Source organism: Homo sapiens, chromosome 17, assembly GCF_000001405.40.
Source record: "Homo sapiens chromosome 17, GRCh38.p14 Primary Assembly".
Lineage (NCBI taxonomy): Eukaryota > Metazoa > Chordata > Mammalia > Primates > Hominidae > Homo > Homo sapiens.
Genome location: NC_000017.11, coordinates 12,113,226 through 12,130,650, shown reverse-complemented (window position 1 = coordinate 12,130,650; position 17,425 = coordinate 12,113,226). Strand labels below are relative to the sequence as shown.

General features: G+C 37.6%; 1 protein-coding gene and 1 pseudogene across 6 annotated transcripts in view; both read right to left on the bottom strand.

The window, feature by feature from the left end:
• MAP2K4 (mitogen-activated protein kinase kinase 4) overlaps nt 1-17,425 on the bottom strand; it is a 122,952-nt gene that overhangs the window by 13,178 nt on the left and 92,349 nt on the right. For 3 of the 6 annotated variants that reach the window (NM_001281435.2, NM_003010.4, XM_005256753.4), the window contains 3 exons: nt 17,291-17,418; nt 5,280-5,357; nt 1,364-1,512 (listed from right to left, as the gene is read on the bottom strand). In NM_001281435.2, the coding sequence (NP_001268364.1) occupies nt 1,364-1,512; nt 5,280-5,357; nt 17,291-17,418 (355 nt within the window). Of the gene's footprint in view, nt 1-1,066; nt 1,158-1,363; nt 1,513-4,692; nt 5,031-5,279; nt 5,358-17,290; nt 17,419-17,425 lie in introns of those variants that run through there. The other 3 variants (XR_007065381.1, XR_007065382.1, XM_011523976.3) reach the window with 2 other exon arrangements.
• Nucleotides 14,412-15,132, bottom strand: LOC103156999 (dynein light chain Tctex-type 1 pseudogene; annotated as a pseudogene).

Here is a 17,425-nt window from a genome sequence, read left to right as displayed (position 1 = left end):
ATGGGACTCCAATGTCTAAAACTGTCACTCTATTATGGCATCAAGGGAAACAGAAATAAACATGTACAAGTACCAACACATACAGAACAAAACCAATAAAGAGATCAAGGAGTTAAAAAGAAACCCTGATGGAAGGTTCACAGGTGATCATTTTAGATATTATACCCTATGACTTACACAGATCATTTTAAGCAAATATGTCATAAAAATGAAATACATAAAATGATCACATTTATGCAATTATATAAACTATCCATACTGTGTGCAAATTAGTACAGAATTGATTGTTTTTTAAAAGGAGGAAGCAGCCAATTTGAGTCATCCTTATGTCCTTCTTCTACCTAGAAAATCTTGAAGTATTCCTCTCCCCTCTGAAAAACCAACACAAAAGTAGAATTTGGTTACAGAAGATGAAAGAGACTTAAAAACTATAGTCAAACAAATATTTTTAAATTTTTCATACAAAGGAGGGCAATGTTAGACCCTGATTTAAGTCTATAAGACCTAAAATGAGGAGAAACCGCATTCTTAGCAGGAAAAAATTATGAGAAACCAAAAGGTATTTTCAGGAATAAACAGAAGATACACAAAATGCTCTGAGGCTTTTTGTTCATAGCATGTCTTATATTTAAATCATGTTGGATAAACAAAATAAATGTCAAAAATATCCAAATGATAACACAAAAAGATTTTATTTAAAAGAGCCTAAAACAGTATAAAGCATGATTATATTACTGCCATATCTGCATATGTTTATTCTTAGGTGCTACATATACACAAACACACAACAAACTATTAAAAAGGTAGACAAACAACAACAGGTGTGGGGTTCACATCTTCCTTGGAGTAAGGTTTCAGAGAGCAAAGATATACAGTTCTACCAACTACACTTTGCGTGTGGATGTGACCCTACTACATATAACCAACTGTTTTCTATGTTATGTCAGAACAGAGATCCAACCCTGAAAGTCTGATCTGGCAAGCTCTTGATTCAGTAAATGCTTCCAGGTGATTTTGGTGCAATTGCATTGTGAGAACCACATTAGAGTAAGATGATCAGTCTCACCTAGAAGTTTAACCTGGTATTTCTTGTACCAGGTACTGGAAGTCTGGAGACAGCAGCCTCTCCACCACTCATGGCTGTTTTTCACCAATACCTGAGTAGCAGAATAAGAAGGTGATGCCTCTCCCAGCTAGCTGTAACCTTCCATACAGCCACAGTGATCCAGAGTCCCAGCTTGAAAAGTAGGGTGATGTGACCAAGGGTCCCCTTCCTCCATGTAAAGTACCAATGCTGCTAAGACCAAGTAAATCTCACTATTCTCGCCATGCGTGTTCGACCATTCATAAATCAGGTACTCACCACAAGTTGACAAAGTTGATGAAACTCGGGGAGAATTCCCTTTCCTCAGAATTACTCAGCTGCGGAGGATCTCCTTTCACGACTTGTGTTAGTTGATCAAATACACTATTCCACTTTGGATAAGGAAATCGGCCTGTGGCCAACTCATACTAAAGAGAACAAAGAGGAAAGAGCAAAATACACCAGGCATCATTTACTACTCCCCACTGGAAGGGCCACAAAAAAATCTAAACTACAAGCAAAACTCTAGTAAAGCCTTGAATTAAACACAGGTTAGCTTGGGGAGGAATCTTCAGAATCATAAAGGCTAAGTAGAAGTTATATTTAGAAATCAAAATAATATAGAGAATTCTGAATCAACCAAATTCAAGGACTTGGAATACATGGGAACACAAAACTTAAGCCTAGACAATGTCCCTACAATGCATGCTCCAGGGCAGCCTGTGGTTCTGACTTCTTTATAAGAAAGTCTGGAAGACTGGTTTTAGAACTATTTTACTATAGAATACGCACAATTTGTAGCCATCTTAGAGGAAGGCCTTGGTCCATAATCGTGGTTAGACTCCTTTTTAAGGCAAAAGAACATCCAACAAACAAAAGCCTAATCTGAGCTTGGAGGAAACAATGTGCAAATCCTGCTCTACAGCTATTCTGCAGATACTACAATTTCAACCACAACCAGATTTTACAAGTAGTGAAGAAATCAAGTCAGGGTCAAACCCTGCATCCTGAAGCCCCAATAAAGGGCTCAGGACAGTACCTCTAAGCCACACCAGAAGAGATCTGAAGAGTCTTACGTATGTCCCAATCCTATCAAGGGTCCAAAAAAAAAATATTCTCTAATAACCAGTGAATCGTATTCTCATCTATCTCCCTTTCTGTTCTGAAAAATAATGAAAACCTACCAATTAGGCCGGGCACAGTGGCTCACGCCTGTAATCCCACCACTTTGGGATGCCGAGGCGGGTGGATCAGGAGGTCAGGAGATGGACACCATCCTGTCTAACACGGTGAAACCCCATCTCTACTAAAAATACAAAAAATTAGCCGGGCGTGGTGGCAGGCGCCTGTAGTCCCAGCTATTCAGGAGGCTGAGGCAGGGGAATGGCATGAACCCAGGAGGCGGAGTTTGCAGTGAGCCGAGATTGCGCCACTGCACTCCAGCCTGGGGGACAGAGAGAGACTCCATCTCAAAAAACAAAAGAAAAGAAAACCTACAAATTTTGCTTTTTCCAAGAAACATATTTAAATCTGCACCATGGCATAATGAATCCCATTTTACATGCACTGACAGGTGACTGATACATGAGGATGAGGCTCCAAACATATTACAGAGGAAGATGGCATACAGGAAGAGAGAGAGAACTCTCAGAACACTGATTCCGTTTCCTCCCTAAAGGATGCCTCTGTCAGCTCACTGTTGTTTCTAATTACACACATGTGTGCACAAAAGTAAGCAGGCATGCATGCATACACACACAGAAAAATGTATTCCGTTAGCTGAAGTTTCTTTCTGTTAAAATTATAAATGCTTTTCAAGACATAAACCTTCCTGGTTATTCACAGAATTAGGAATAACTTCATTAGATTCCTTCTTGTGTTTTAATAATAGAAGGAAAAGTTGGCTGTATGTCATAAAATAAAGGACTTAGGATCTTAGAAATTAATTTCATACATTTCACAATTTTTATAAGACTGTCCCTATGAAAAATAAATTATGAACCAACTGTAAGTACAGAATACCTTTTAAACAACAAGGTTTAGCTAAAAGTACTAAAAGAAACTTGCTAAAAAATTTTCTGTTAAAACCTTTCACAAAATTTTCTTTCTGTAAAGAAGTACATACTTGCTTTTAAAACGTAATTGTTTAGTCATAGATAAGTATTTCTGAATTGTAAATATCCTGTGTATGCAAATAGTTGCCTCAGCTGGAAGCTCTAGGTCTTGCTGCAGTCTTTGGGACCAGTTGCCAAACCTAAAAGATGCCCGAGATCCATGTTCTCTCCTGTCTAAAGAAGAATCTCTTCTTTAGCTGGTTGGCTTCACAATGAGAAAAGATTCCAGAAGGTATTTCCTATATTTGGTCACAAAGTAAAGTAAATCAAAGTCCTCTGCAGAGGTGAGCTGTTGGCCTTCAACTCTCTATACGAAGAATTCTCTAGGCCTAGCAATATGATTCATCAAGAATAACTAACAAGGTTATGTGCTTCTGATCACAGAGAAGATCCTAGAAACATGTAATACCAATGAACAAATGAAGATTATTTAATAAGCTACAAAAAAAGCCCATTGCTCTGAACCTGTGTATTTCTGGGCTATAGAGTCTTAGGTAGCAAAAACTGAAAATGGGAGAAAATGAAAGAAGAGGATTGGCCTGCCTACCTACAGGACAGCCTCATCTAGGGATAGAAAATTCGCCTTCAATGTAGAAGCAGCTAAAGAAGCTATCCCAAATCAGAAAAACCCAGCAAGTCCTGGTAGAACAGCAAGCACAAGAAAATAAACCGAAGACTTCAAAACAAAATTTGGTAAAAAGGAAATGAGCAAAGATACTGCTAGAGACTGAATGTTTGTGTGTCCCCACCCCCCAGCAAATCCATATGTTGAAGCCTAATCCCTAATGTGATGGTATTTGGTGGTGGATCTTTGGGAAGTGATGGGGTCACGAGGGTGGAACCCTCATTAATCTAATTAGTGCCCTTGTAAGAAAGACCCCAGACAGCTCTCTTGCCTCTTCTGCCATGTGAGACTACAACAAGAAGATGGCTGTTTATGAACCAGGAAGCAAGCCCTCACTAGCCACCAAATCTGTCAGTGCCTTGATCTTGGACTTCCCAGCCTCCGAAACTGTGAGAAATTTCTGTTCTTGATAAGATTATAGCCCAGAGGTCAGCATTTGGTTGGAGCAGCCTGAACTAATACAGATATTTTAAATGAAACCAAAATTTCAATACAGTCCATAGGTAAGAAAGAAGAGTTTATATAATTGCGCTTGCTTGTTGCAAATTAAGTAGCTTTCTTATTATTCTTTCTCAGTGTTGTTCTAAGGTAGAACTTTCATTTAGAATTATCACCTAGGTAGTTCTTGTCTGATATGGTTTGGCTCTGTGTCCCCACCCAAATTTCATTTCGAATTATAATCCCTATGTGTTGAAGGAGCGGCCTGGTGGGAGGTGATTGGATCATGAGGGTGGTTTCTAATGCACCATCCCCCTAGTGCTGTCTCATGATAGAGTTCTCATGAGACCTGGTTGTTTAAAAGTGTCTGGCACCTTCCCCTTCACTCTCTCTCTCCCCTGCTCCTGTACGACCTGTGGAGCTGTGAGGCAATTAAACCTCTCTTCATAAATTACCCAGTCTCATGTAGTTCTTTACAGTAGTGTGAGAATGGACTAATATATTGTCCCTCAAAAACTGAATTACTTTCAGCTCATTCACTTGTGATTTTACTATTCAGTGAATAGAATATTGCAAGTAGAAACTATTTTCCACATATAAAAATACGTATACTTAATATACACACTATATACAGTATTACTGGACATACTACACCTTGCCTGAGATGGGAGAAGCCTATGTGCCTTCATCAATGAATTGACTGCAGGTAAGCTGGCTTGTCCTGTTCCCATTCTTAGTGCAGTTGCAGATAATAGTTGACTCCTATTATCTGTGGCCAAGAGATCCAGTTAAAACATTAAAGGGCTCTAGACACTTCACATAACTTCAAGGGAAATAATCAAGTCTGATTTGATTTTTAAAGTAAATAAATACATACTTTTTTTTTTTCAGCAACTTAAAACCATAGTGTCTGTGATTATAGTTCTTAACGAACGGGGAAGTCTGATTAAGTTTTCTTTCACTTCTAAATTTCTTATTGTTACGCTACTGTGGCAAGGTTGAATCAGCATAAACATACCAATGTGATCCCCAAACTCCAGACATCAGAGCGGACATCATATCCTTGTCGTGATGCGCTTGGGTCTATTCTTTCAGGCTGGAACATAAAGACAAGTGTAAGTTATTAATTGCCTTACACTCAAGGAATAGGCAAATGGAAGCAACAGCTGGGTAGACAGCCAAAATGCCAGTATATTCCTAGAGGAATCCATGTCTAGCGTCAGAATGGAAGTAATAGGAAGTCATCATTATCATAAAAACAAACAACAAAAAACTTAATGGCTACTTCCATAAAGAGAACACTAAGCAATTCATTTAACTATTCCCCTCAAAGACTCAAAAGCATTTACAAAGCTGAAGCTGAGGGAAGAGGGAGACAAAGGAAGAAAACTGGAAAACATAAAGAATTACAAGGTCGCCAGGTGCAGTGGCGCACGCCCGTAATCCCAGCACTTTGGGAGGCCGAAGCGGGTGGATCAGGAGGTCAGCAGATCGAGACCATCCTGGCTAACACGGTGAAACCCCATCTCTACTAAAAATACAAAAAAGTAGCTGGGCCTGGTGGCAGGTGCCTGTAGTCCCAGCTACTCAGGAGGCTGAGGCAGGAGAATGGCGTGAACCCGGGAGGCAGAGCTTGCAGTGAGCCGAGATCATGCCACTGCACTCCAGCCTGGACAACAGAGCGAGGCTCCATCTCAAAAAAAAAATTAAAAAATAAAAAGGTTTTAAAAAAAGAATTAGGTCAAATTTGGGGCAACGAGTGACAAACAAACAAAAAAGACTGTCTTCGATTTTTAAAAGACTTTGCTCGGTGGATGAGGCCATACCACAATATATTTGAGACACAAAAGCAAAACAAGAGCTAAATTTATCACAATTATTCCACCCATACTTCACAATAACGCTAAATTTATCACTACACATATGTGTAAAGATATTTGTCTGTTAGTCATTTGTAGCCAAATTAAAGCACTGCCAAGACAGTAATATATTATCCTATGTACCGCAGAAATCATTTTTAGTAATTTCTGTGAAAGAACATCTTTACATTTCCTTGAAATTAGGGACCATCTAAATGATGTGTCAGGAAAAGGGAAGAGAGAGAGAGGGTCCTGTTGGCACAGAGTTGACAATGGATCCTTCGCTAAGTCTGAGAGTAACTGCTGTTGAAAGAAATGCCCAGAGAAGCATAATAGTTGACTGTATTACATTCTCTGCCTGTGAGCATCAACTAAAGACATCTGTATATTGCTTTGAGCATGAGTACTGTGCTGCATAAAATTCACTGTAAGCTATTTACTTTGTTTTTTTTTGTTGTAAATATAAGTATTTGCCTGATAAGGTACACATTAAAATCCCAGATATTCAACCAAGAGAAAAAATACTCCATCCAACATCATCAAGATCAACATTTTCCCCAAACTAGCATGGAACATTGATTAATCCTGACCACATTCTGGGGCATAAAACACACCTTGTTTTAAAAGATGGAAAGCATGCAAAGCATGTTCTCAGATCACAAAATAAATAAATTAGAAATCAGTAACAGGAAGATATCTGCAAAGTCCTCAAATATCTGAAGATTTAACAACACACCTCTAAATGACAAATGGATCAAAAAAGTCTCAAGAAATAGTTAAAAAATTGAACTAAATGAAAATGAAATTACAACTTCCCAAAATTTGTGGGATATAGAAGTAGTGCTCAGAAGAAAATGTATAGTGTAAAATGCATACATTAGAAGAGAAGACATCTCAAATCAAACCTACTTTATAGCTTAAAGAATTAGAAAAAAAAGAACAAATGAAATACAAAGCAAGCAGGAGGAAGAACGTAAGAAAAAGTAACGTGAAGACAAGTAAAACAGGAATAGAAAAACAATAGAGAAAAGTCAAGAAAACCAACAGTACTTTGAAAAGATCAATAAAATGGACACACCTTTGGCTAGACTGACCCACAGAAAAAGAAAAGATACAAATTACTAAAATCAGAATGAAAGAGGGGCCATTACTACTGTTCTTACAGAAATAGATGAAACAGAAATATTTTCTGAAAATGAAAACCTACCAAAAAGAATATCAAAGTGTGAATAACCTTTAAACTATGTTACTTAATGAATGTTATTAAAAACCTGCCCAGAAAGAAAAGTCCACACCCAGATGGGCTCACTGGTGAACTCTTTTCAAATACGTGAGAAATAACACTGGCCTTACACAAATTTTTTTTTCAAAAAAGTGAGAGATGGTACGCTTCCCAACTCATTTCATGAGGCCAGCATAACGATTTTTGAAAACCTGACAAAGTCATTACAAGACAATTAATAGCCCTTGCACAGAAAGACACAAAAATAACAAAATATGAGCAAACCTAATCCAGCAACATACAAAGAGGTAATGTATCATGACCAAGTAGAGTTTATCTCAAGAATACAATACTAACTTAATACTTGAAAATCAATGCAATGCACCATTATTTATAGAAAGGAAGAAAATAATGTGATCATCTCAATAAATGTAGAATTAGCATCTGACAAAATGTAAAACCCACTAATAACAACAGAAATAACAACACACTAAGAGAAGAAAACATCTTCATTTCCATAAAGGGCATCTAAAATAACCAAGAGTTAACATTATACTTACTGGTGAAATATAGAACACTTTCTTTTTAATTAATATTGGGCATAAGGCAAATATGCCTACTATTATTATTACTATTCAGGATTCTACTGGAGGACCCAGCCAGTATAGAAAGGCAAGGGGGAAAACAAGCATTACCTTTATTCACAGACACAGAAAATTCCTACTGAAACTAACAGTAAAACTAAACTAGCAAGGTCACAAGATCCAATGTTAACACATGCAAAGCAGTTGTATTTCTATATAATAATAGCAAAATATTGGAAAATATTTTTAATTCCACTCCCAATAACAGTATTCTAAGACAAAAAGAAATCCGAGACAGGTCTCAATCAATTTAGAAGTTTATCTTGCCACGGTTAAGGACATGCCTGAAAGGGAAGTTTGTGCCTTTCTCCAAATATGATTTTGAGGGCTTCAATAATTAAAGAGGAAAAGCAGGCAGCAGGGGGACGAGGGAGGGTGTGGTCACATTACTGAATCCGTATGTTGCAAGAGAAAAGGAGCAAGTACGGAATAGTTGATTATGTATTCCTCTCATCCTCAGTAAGTTAGCACTTAAATAAGATAAGGTGAACGGAATAGCTACCTGTGGAGATATTTAAAACTTTATCTGTAGCTATCTGCTTAAGAACAAAAGGAAAGGCAGTTTTTTATTTACATCACTCAGCTTTCAGCTGAATTTTTTGTTTTGGCATAGTAAATTGGGGTCCCAAGTTTTTATTTTCCTTTCACAGTATCGAAAAACCATGAACTCCTTAGAAATAAATTTAAAAGGTCTTCAAAAGCTGCACACTGAAAACTACAAAACATTGCTGAGAGATGGCAAGAAGACCTAAATGAATAAAGAAACATACCACTTTCTATTCTGCAACTGTTTTAACTGCTTAAAAAAAAGGCATGTCTGTAAACATTACAAATAGTAACCATTATGTGCTTTGCAATGTTATGCAATAAAAAACACTCCTCATACATGAAGTATGCATGTCTAAAAATAGTTGTAGTCTGAATCTAATCATGAGGGAACAATCAGATATTATAAGAATGCGAGACCTTCTGAAAACACTTCCAAAACCGCCAATGTCACAGAAAACAAAAAGAATGATCAAGCCCTGTATATATTAAAATAATGTAACAATTAAAATCAATGTGGAATCTTTTTTTTTTTTTTTTTTTTGAGACGGAGTCTCGCTCTGTCACCCAGGCTGGAGTGCAGTGGCGCGATCTCGGCTCACTGCAAGCTCCGCCTCCCGGGTTCCCGCCATTCTCCTGCCTCAGCCTCCTGAGTAGCTGGTATGGAATCTTAATGTGACCCTGGATTGACAGCTAAAAGATAGTTTTTTTGACATATGGGAAATCTGAGTATGAACTATGTATTAGATAATACAGATTGAGTATTCCTCATCCAAAAAGCTTGGAACCTGAGTGTTTCGATTTTGGATTTTTTCAAATTTTGGAATATTTGCATATACATAATAATATATCTTGGGGATGGGACCCAAGTCTAAACGTGAAATTTATTTATGTTTCATATACAACTATATACATAGCCTGAAGGTAATTTTATATTATATTTTAAATAAATTTGTGCATGAAACAAAGTTTGTGTACACTGAAGCACCAAAAAGCAAAAGTGTCACTATCTCAGCCACCCAGGTAGACAATCTGTGGTTGCTGGGCATCACCATCATTCCGGACTCGGAATTTACATGCTATTAATAGGCAATCATTGTCTTACACTTGTTCACACAAATACTTAACAGTAAAAAATATGACGTATCAATACAGTGAAAAACAATGAGTTCTGGGGAACTAAGCAGCACAGTAGCATCGCCAGAATACCTGCATCAACTGTTAAACAGCAGCTACAACAAACAGCTACAAGCTTTCAACCTCCAACTACGATGCTGTGTTTTGATTAAAAGGCTATTGTACACTGTATTTTATTTTTTTAGGTGAGAAGAAACATCAGAAGCATTTGAGGGGCCAGAAGTGGGTCCTCTAGTAATGAGGAGGCATTCTGCTAGATGGCTTTGTAAAATGTTTCCTCCCTAGTCAACTGCCTCATTAACAATGGTTTTTGTCTTAGGAGTCTCTCTTCAGTTTTATAAACTGACATGATTTCTTCTTGTGTTATGAATGCATACTGCTCTAATCCTTTAATGAGTCCATTACACATTTTCATCAAGAGCATTTTTTCTTTTTTATGGGGGGGGGAATGAGGGAGCTTGTTTCCATTTTCTTTAAAACTTTTTTTAGTTTTTTTCCTTTTTATTTATATATATGTTTTTTGAGACAGAATCTTGCTCTGTTGCCCAGGCTGAAGTGTAGTGGCACAACCTCAGCTCACTGCAACTTCTGCCTCCTGGGTTCAAGCAATTCTCATGCCTCAGCCTCCTGACTAGCTGGGATTACAGGCATGTGCCACTGTGCCTGGCTAATTTTTGTATTTTTAGTAGTGATGGGGTTTCACATGTTGGCCAGGCTGGTCTTGAATTCCTGGCTTCAAGTGATCCGCCTACCTTGGCCTCCCAAAGTGCTGGGATTACAGGCATGTGCCACCGCGCCCGGCCTAATTTTTATTTTTTTTAAACTTTTACTTTAGGCCCAGGATTACACATGCAGGTTTGTTATATAGGTAAACTCATGCCACAGAGGTCTGTTGTACAGACCATTTGGTCACCCAGTTACTAAGCCTAGTACCCAATAGTTATTTTTTCTGATCCTCTCCCACCTCCCACACTCAAGTAGGCCCCAGTGTCTGTTTTGTTGCTCTTTGTGTCCATGTGTTCTCATCATTTAGCTCCCACTTAAGAGAACATGTGGTATTTGATTTTCTGTTCCTGCATTAGTTTGCTAAGTAAGTATCCTTAGATATTAATGGATGGCCTACAGCTCCATCCATGTTCCCACAAAGGACATGCTCTCATTCTTTTTTATGGCTGTAGAGTATTCCACAGTGTATATGTACCACATTTTCTTTATCCAGTCTTCCACTGATGGACATTTAGGTTGATTACATGTCTTTGCTATTGTGAATAGTGCTGCAATGAACATATGTGTGTATGTGTCTTTATGACAGAATGACTTCTATTCCTTTTGGTATATACCCATTTCCAGTAATGGAACTGCTGGGTTGAATGACAATTCTGTTTTTAGCTTTTTGAGGAATCACCACACTGCTTTCCACAATGGTTGAATTAATTTACATTTCCACCAACAGTATATAAGTATTCCCTTTTCTCCATAACCTCACCAGCATCTGTTGTTTTGACATTTTTTAACAGCCATTCTGACTGGTGTGAGATGTATCTCATTGTGGTTTTGATTTGCATTTCTCCAATAATCAGTGACATTGTGTTTTTCATATGCTTGTTGGATGCATGCATGTCTTCTTTTGAAAAGTGTCTGTTCACGTCCTTACCCACTTTTTAATGAGGTTGTTTTCTTTCTTATAAATTTAAGTTCCTTATAGATGCTGAATATTAGAACTTTGTGAGACACATAGTTATTTGTAAATATTTTCTCCCATTCTGCAGATTATCTGTTTACTCTGTTGATAGTTTCTTTTGATATGCAGAATGTGCACTTTGTCTATGGGCATTTCTTCCTCGTTGTTAACATCATCCTCATTATCACTAAATATCACATTTACCTTGATTCAGAACCATTTCAGCTATTTCATCATTAGTCAATAAATGAAAAACTGAAGCTTCATTAATTTGATAATAAAAACTTCTTTAATATCCCCTTCTTTCCGTTTACTGACAGACTCTAAAGATGTATTTTTTGCATATAAAAGGAGGTCAGATATCATTTTTTTCTCACTTTAACATATGGAATCCATCCAAGTCACTACCTTGTTCATCATCATCATCATCACTGAATAGTCACAGGCCAGAGGTTATGCCAAGCAGGCATGACTGTGTCTTAGTCACTGTTGGCCAAGTGCTGGCAACAGCATGTATGACATCCTTCATGCTAAACGCCTTCTGAAAACCTTCCACACCCACACCTCTGTTCACTGCTGCTAGCATGATGTTCAAGACAGTGTTTTTATATTTACCCTTCACTGATCTAAGGATATCCTGGTCACATGGCTGAATTAATGAAGTCGCATTTGGGTGAAAGTACATGGCATAAACATTATTTTTTATGAGAATTTCGGTTGCAGCATAAGCAGAACAGTTATCAATGGATAACAAAATCTTTCACTCTTCTTTCAGTCCAGCTTCCCTGCAATAAGCATAAGGCACTGGTACAAAATGTTTATGAAACCAATCAGAAAAGGTATCCCGAGTGATCCAGGCCTTTTGATTAGTATAATAATGGACTGGTAAGACATTCACTTCTTGAAAACAGGAAGGATGCAAGCTTTTGCCTCCTATAGATTTATACCTATACGGGCCTACTGCATTAATACATCCCGTCACAGTTTTTCTGCTCTTGGCATCCTTAAATCTTGCAGGGGCTGTCTCATCAGCTGTAGTGTCTTTCTGGGGTAATCATGCCAAAACAGTGATGTTTCATCAGCATTATACCTGTTCTGATGTTGAATTTTCATCATCAATAACCCTGGCGAATTCATCAATGAATTTCTCCACTGCTTCATGATCAGCAGATGCTTTATCACCATAAATCTTTAAAAAGTTAATGCTATGTTTTTTCTTAAATTTCTATAACCAGTCTGTTGAATCTTCACAGTTCCCTTCAATTTTCAGTTCTTCATGATAGATGTTCATTTCATGATGAGCATACCATCAAATGGCATGTGTTCACTGTGAGTCTGACAGATCCACTCTTTTAATACATTACCAAGATCTTCATTTTTAGCTATTATGTGGTGTTTTTCTATTTTTCAGTAACTTTTGTTCATCACTTTCAGCACAGAACTTCAGCAGTTTCTCCTTCTGTTTCTTCAGGTCATATATGGTGCTCATACGAACACCACACTTTTCTGTAAGACATTTCACATTTACACCATTGTCCAGTTTCTCTAACAGCTTGACTTTCTGTGCTATAAACATAAACACTTCCCCTTTATCCCCTTTAACAAACTGCTGTCTCTCTAGGGGTATCTGCAGGCCTCTTTGACATTTTCAACATTAACTTTAAGCTACTGAGCAAAAAATGAGCAAAAAAAACAAAAAAAAATACAGTGAGTAATGCAGGTAGGTCTTGGCCCCATGTGAGGTATAGTGTGGAACCTGTCATTAGCACATCTTGCCTGCATACATGCCATTTTATTACCCTTTGTAGGCATGCTTATGTGGGGAAAATCTGGGCATGTGTGGAAAAGATATATTGCAGCTAAAGGGGGCCACAAGGGTCTTTTTTTTTTTACCTTGGGAACACTGAATCAACAAGATGTGGTGCACCTGCATTTTGAATGTGACCCATCGCATAAGGTCAGGTGAATTTTCCACTTGGGTCACACTAGTGTTGGTAACGTTTCATATTTGGGAGCATTTCGGGCTTTGCATTTTTGGAATGGGGATGCTCAAAGATGACATTCTTGTTTGTTTTTTTTAGGTGTGGTAATGATATCGTGGTTATGTAGAAGAATGGTCTTTTTCTTGGGAGATATGCACTGAAGTGTTTAGAATAAAATGCATGATATCTGCAACTAACTTTCAGGTGGTTTGGCACATCCATACCCACATACAGAAATTGTCTCGTGCTGCAAAACAACATTTTGGTGAACGACAGACCACATATACAAAGGTTGTCCCATAAGGTTATAATGGAGCTGAAAAATTCCTATCTCCTAATGACACCATAGCCCTCATAACGTAGAGTGACACATTACTCGCGCTCGTGGTGATGCTGTTTTAAACAAACCTATTGCACTGCCAGTCATTTAAAAGTATAGCACATACAATTATGTACAGTACACTATACTTGATGTCCTTCTACTTATTTAAAAAAAAGTTATCAACAGCTTCTGGCAGGTCTTTCAGGAGGTATTACAAAGAAGGCATTGATATCATAGGAGATGACAGCTCCCTGCGTGTTACTGCCCCTGAGGACCTTCCAGTGGGGCAAGATGTGGATGTAGAAGACAGTGATTGATCGCGCCCATGTATAGGCCTAGAATGATGTCTTAGTTTTTAACAAAAAAGTTTAAAAAGAATAAACAAGTAAACAGAATAGCCTTACGGAATAAAGATACAAAGAAAGAAAATATTTTTGTACGGCTGTACAGTGTGTTTGTGTTTTAAGCTAAGTGTTAATACAAAAAAGTAAAAAAAATTTTTTTTAATTAAAAAGTGTATAAAGTAAAAAAGTTACAGTACACTCAGGTTAATTTATTACTGAAGAAAAAAATTTTTATAAATGTCATGTAGCCTAAGTGTACAGTGTTTATAAAGTCTACAGTAGCATCCTAGGCCTGCAAATTCACTTACCACTCACTCACTGACTCATCCAGAACAACTTCTAGTCCTGTAAGCTCCATTCATGATTAGTGCCTTATACCAGTGAACCATTCTTTATTTTTTATACCATATTTTTTTAGATTTGAATAATTTATTCTAACAAAAGTATAAAGTATGGAAAATTAGTGTATTTGAATCATTTCAGACAGTATAGCAAGTTTCACACCAGCAGATTTCAGATTTTAGCACCTTTGAAAAGAAATATTCAGAGTTACAAGTGGCAATGCAGGCTGCAGGCGACCTACAGGGATACTCATCTGACTTCAGTGCACAGTTCATGTAACAGTGCGGTCATTTGGTTTTTTTCTCTGCATTTTTAGAGTGCCACAAAACAGACTTAAAAAGAACGAGAAAAGAGTTCACTCAATTCATAGCTGGTGTTAGAAGATGAACTACCGGAGGAAGGTCACAGGCTGGACTAGGAGGTCCAATACACAGTCCAAAGGTGCCGACGATGCAGTACATGGTTTTATTCTCCCATCGCACAGTGCAGCTCCTGTCAGCAGAGCTGTCCCAGAAGCAGGAACTTGCCATGTGTAATCCAGCTCCATTCTTTTGCATAATTACACAGGTCACAATGTATTTAAGTGGTTTTCCCAGCTTGGTGAGTTGGCTTGAAGTTTGTTCTACTACATTTGTGTTCCACTGGTTCACTTTGCTGTGTTAATAAGCGTTAACCACCAATTGTGCTTTCTATAGCCTCTTTTACAATTTGCTCACTTCATCAACAACAAAAGCAGTCTCCTCCGCAGCCTGGTAGTCTTCCATCTTTCTCCGGCCCGTCACCTCTACCTCCTTTATACCATATTTTGACCGTACCTTTTCTATATTTAGACACACAAATAGTTGCTGTTGTGATATAATTACCTACAGTATTTAGTACAGTAACATGCTGTATAGGCTTGTAGTCTAGAAGCAACAGGCTGTACCATATAGCCTATGTGTGTAGTAGGCTATACCATCTAGGTTTGTGTAAGTACACTTATGATTTTGCACAACAAAATTGCCTAACAACACACTTCTCAGAACATATTCCCACGGTTAAGCAACATAAGACTGTGTACCTACATGAGGGTATGGAGTTGGGAAAATGTTTACAAGAAATCGGTTTACAGGAAAATTTATGTGTAAACTCTACATTTTATTTACTTTTTTATGTTGCACAATCTAATGAGTAATCCTAAGTCCTGTAGACTAAAGACAACTATAAATCTCAAATAAAATGATATACCTCCAATAGGTTTTGTCAATATTTGAAGAAAAGTCAAACCACTTGAAGCCTTTTAAAATTAACATTGATTGAGTTCTTGTCTATCTATAACAGGCTTTGAAAGATGAGAATGGACAGAAGAATTTCATCTGGTCCAGTAAAGATTAGAGGCCAAGAGTTTATCAGCCTTTGTGTTCCACAGATGAAGGTCAGCAAGAAAACAGAAGTCTTACATCTCCTGGGCCTGCAAAGCATATCTCTGCACAAGAATGACGAAAGTCTGTTTTAAAGAAAGTCTGAGTCTTTCTTAGAAAGCTGAATTCAAAATATTCTACTTTATCTGGGCTGCAATTGCATTTTCAAAGCCTGCTTCAATCAAATATAATTCTTAGTCAGTGTCACACAACAAAAACATTTAGTCACTGTTAGTATCGAGACAAGCCCTAAAACTGTAAATAACAATTTCAGTTCATTCTCGGGGTATCCTTAATAAATATGTAAATCACATTTCCCAAATACTCCATGTCTAATTTTTTTTATTTCTTGCCTTTGAAACTATTGTGCCATTTATCCCTAGTTATCACGATAAACAAATGATCTTCCAAACTGAGTCAAGAAATCTGCCCAGCCAGTCAACATCCACAAAACCAAAAGTTTAAAAGGTCTTACCACACAGGTTAGGTGTCTACACACACACACACACACACACACACACACCGCTTTTACATGTTCATCTGAAGAAAAAGTGATATGGGAAGATATAACAAAACCAAAAGAGGATTGAAAAATGCAGTAAGTTGAATTTGTAGTAGCACTAAGCCTATCCATTCATAAATAATCTAGAACACCTATAATATCTAGCCTGTGACTCTTACTTTTTTATTATTTATAGCACTAGGTTTGAAAACATATATATCAAGGAGGAAACCAAGAAAGAACAATTTTATTCAATTCTAAGCTTATCTTTAGTTTAAAACAGTCTACAAAGATGGAAAGAAATGCTGCTGGCAGGGAGGCCTCAAGAAACAACCACAAAACCTTATGTGTCACATTTAGTAGTGTGCTGGTCCCCAAAGAACCATGGCAACATTGAAGAAAGACATTAACACCTAGGGAAATGTCTGAAATACAGACACTACATTTTCATTCAAATACAGATCAAAATCCAGGCTGTAGGAACACTGTATGCAAATATACTGGGGTAAGATGAGTTTGATATCTATGGATGGATAGTGTACATCTGTCTCTTTGCAGGAAAAGAGGCTCCAGGTTGCAAAATACTGAAGGCCTCTACCTTTGCATTTGTTGGTGTGCTTCATCTACCCCTAAAAAAAAGGACTAACAATATTCAAAATATGCAGCTTCAGACTCTGTAATACATAGTGAATTCTGCTAATGAACTCAAGGCTTCCCATTTGTCTCACTAAGGGACGGTGGGAACTTTCTGAGAAGTTACCATCTGTTTAATGAGTTGAGTTCAATATAATGAAAAAACAATAATCAGAGAAGACCACAACTGCTAAATACCAAGTAAGAGAAATAAAGCAAGACAATGAAAACAGGAGCTGACTGGGATAATTTAGCAAAGTTTCATGGAGAGGCTAGGACCTGAGCTTGGGCCTTAGGGTAAGGGAAATATTCTAGCAGTTTCATGGTAAAACCGTATGACTAATGGCCAGCACAAAAGAGCACAGGCTCTCTGTGCAATGACTATCAAGCAAGAAGGCCTGGACTTAACACTTACTGCCATGTATGGCCTACAGCCAGCATCTCTTGTCTTGGCAATAGAGTCCACAAGCTGTCCACTGATGCCGAAGTCACAGAGCTTAATATTTCCACTTCTGTCCAGAAGAATATTGGAAGGTTTGATATCTGCAAG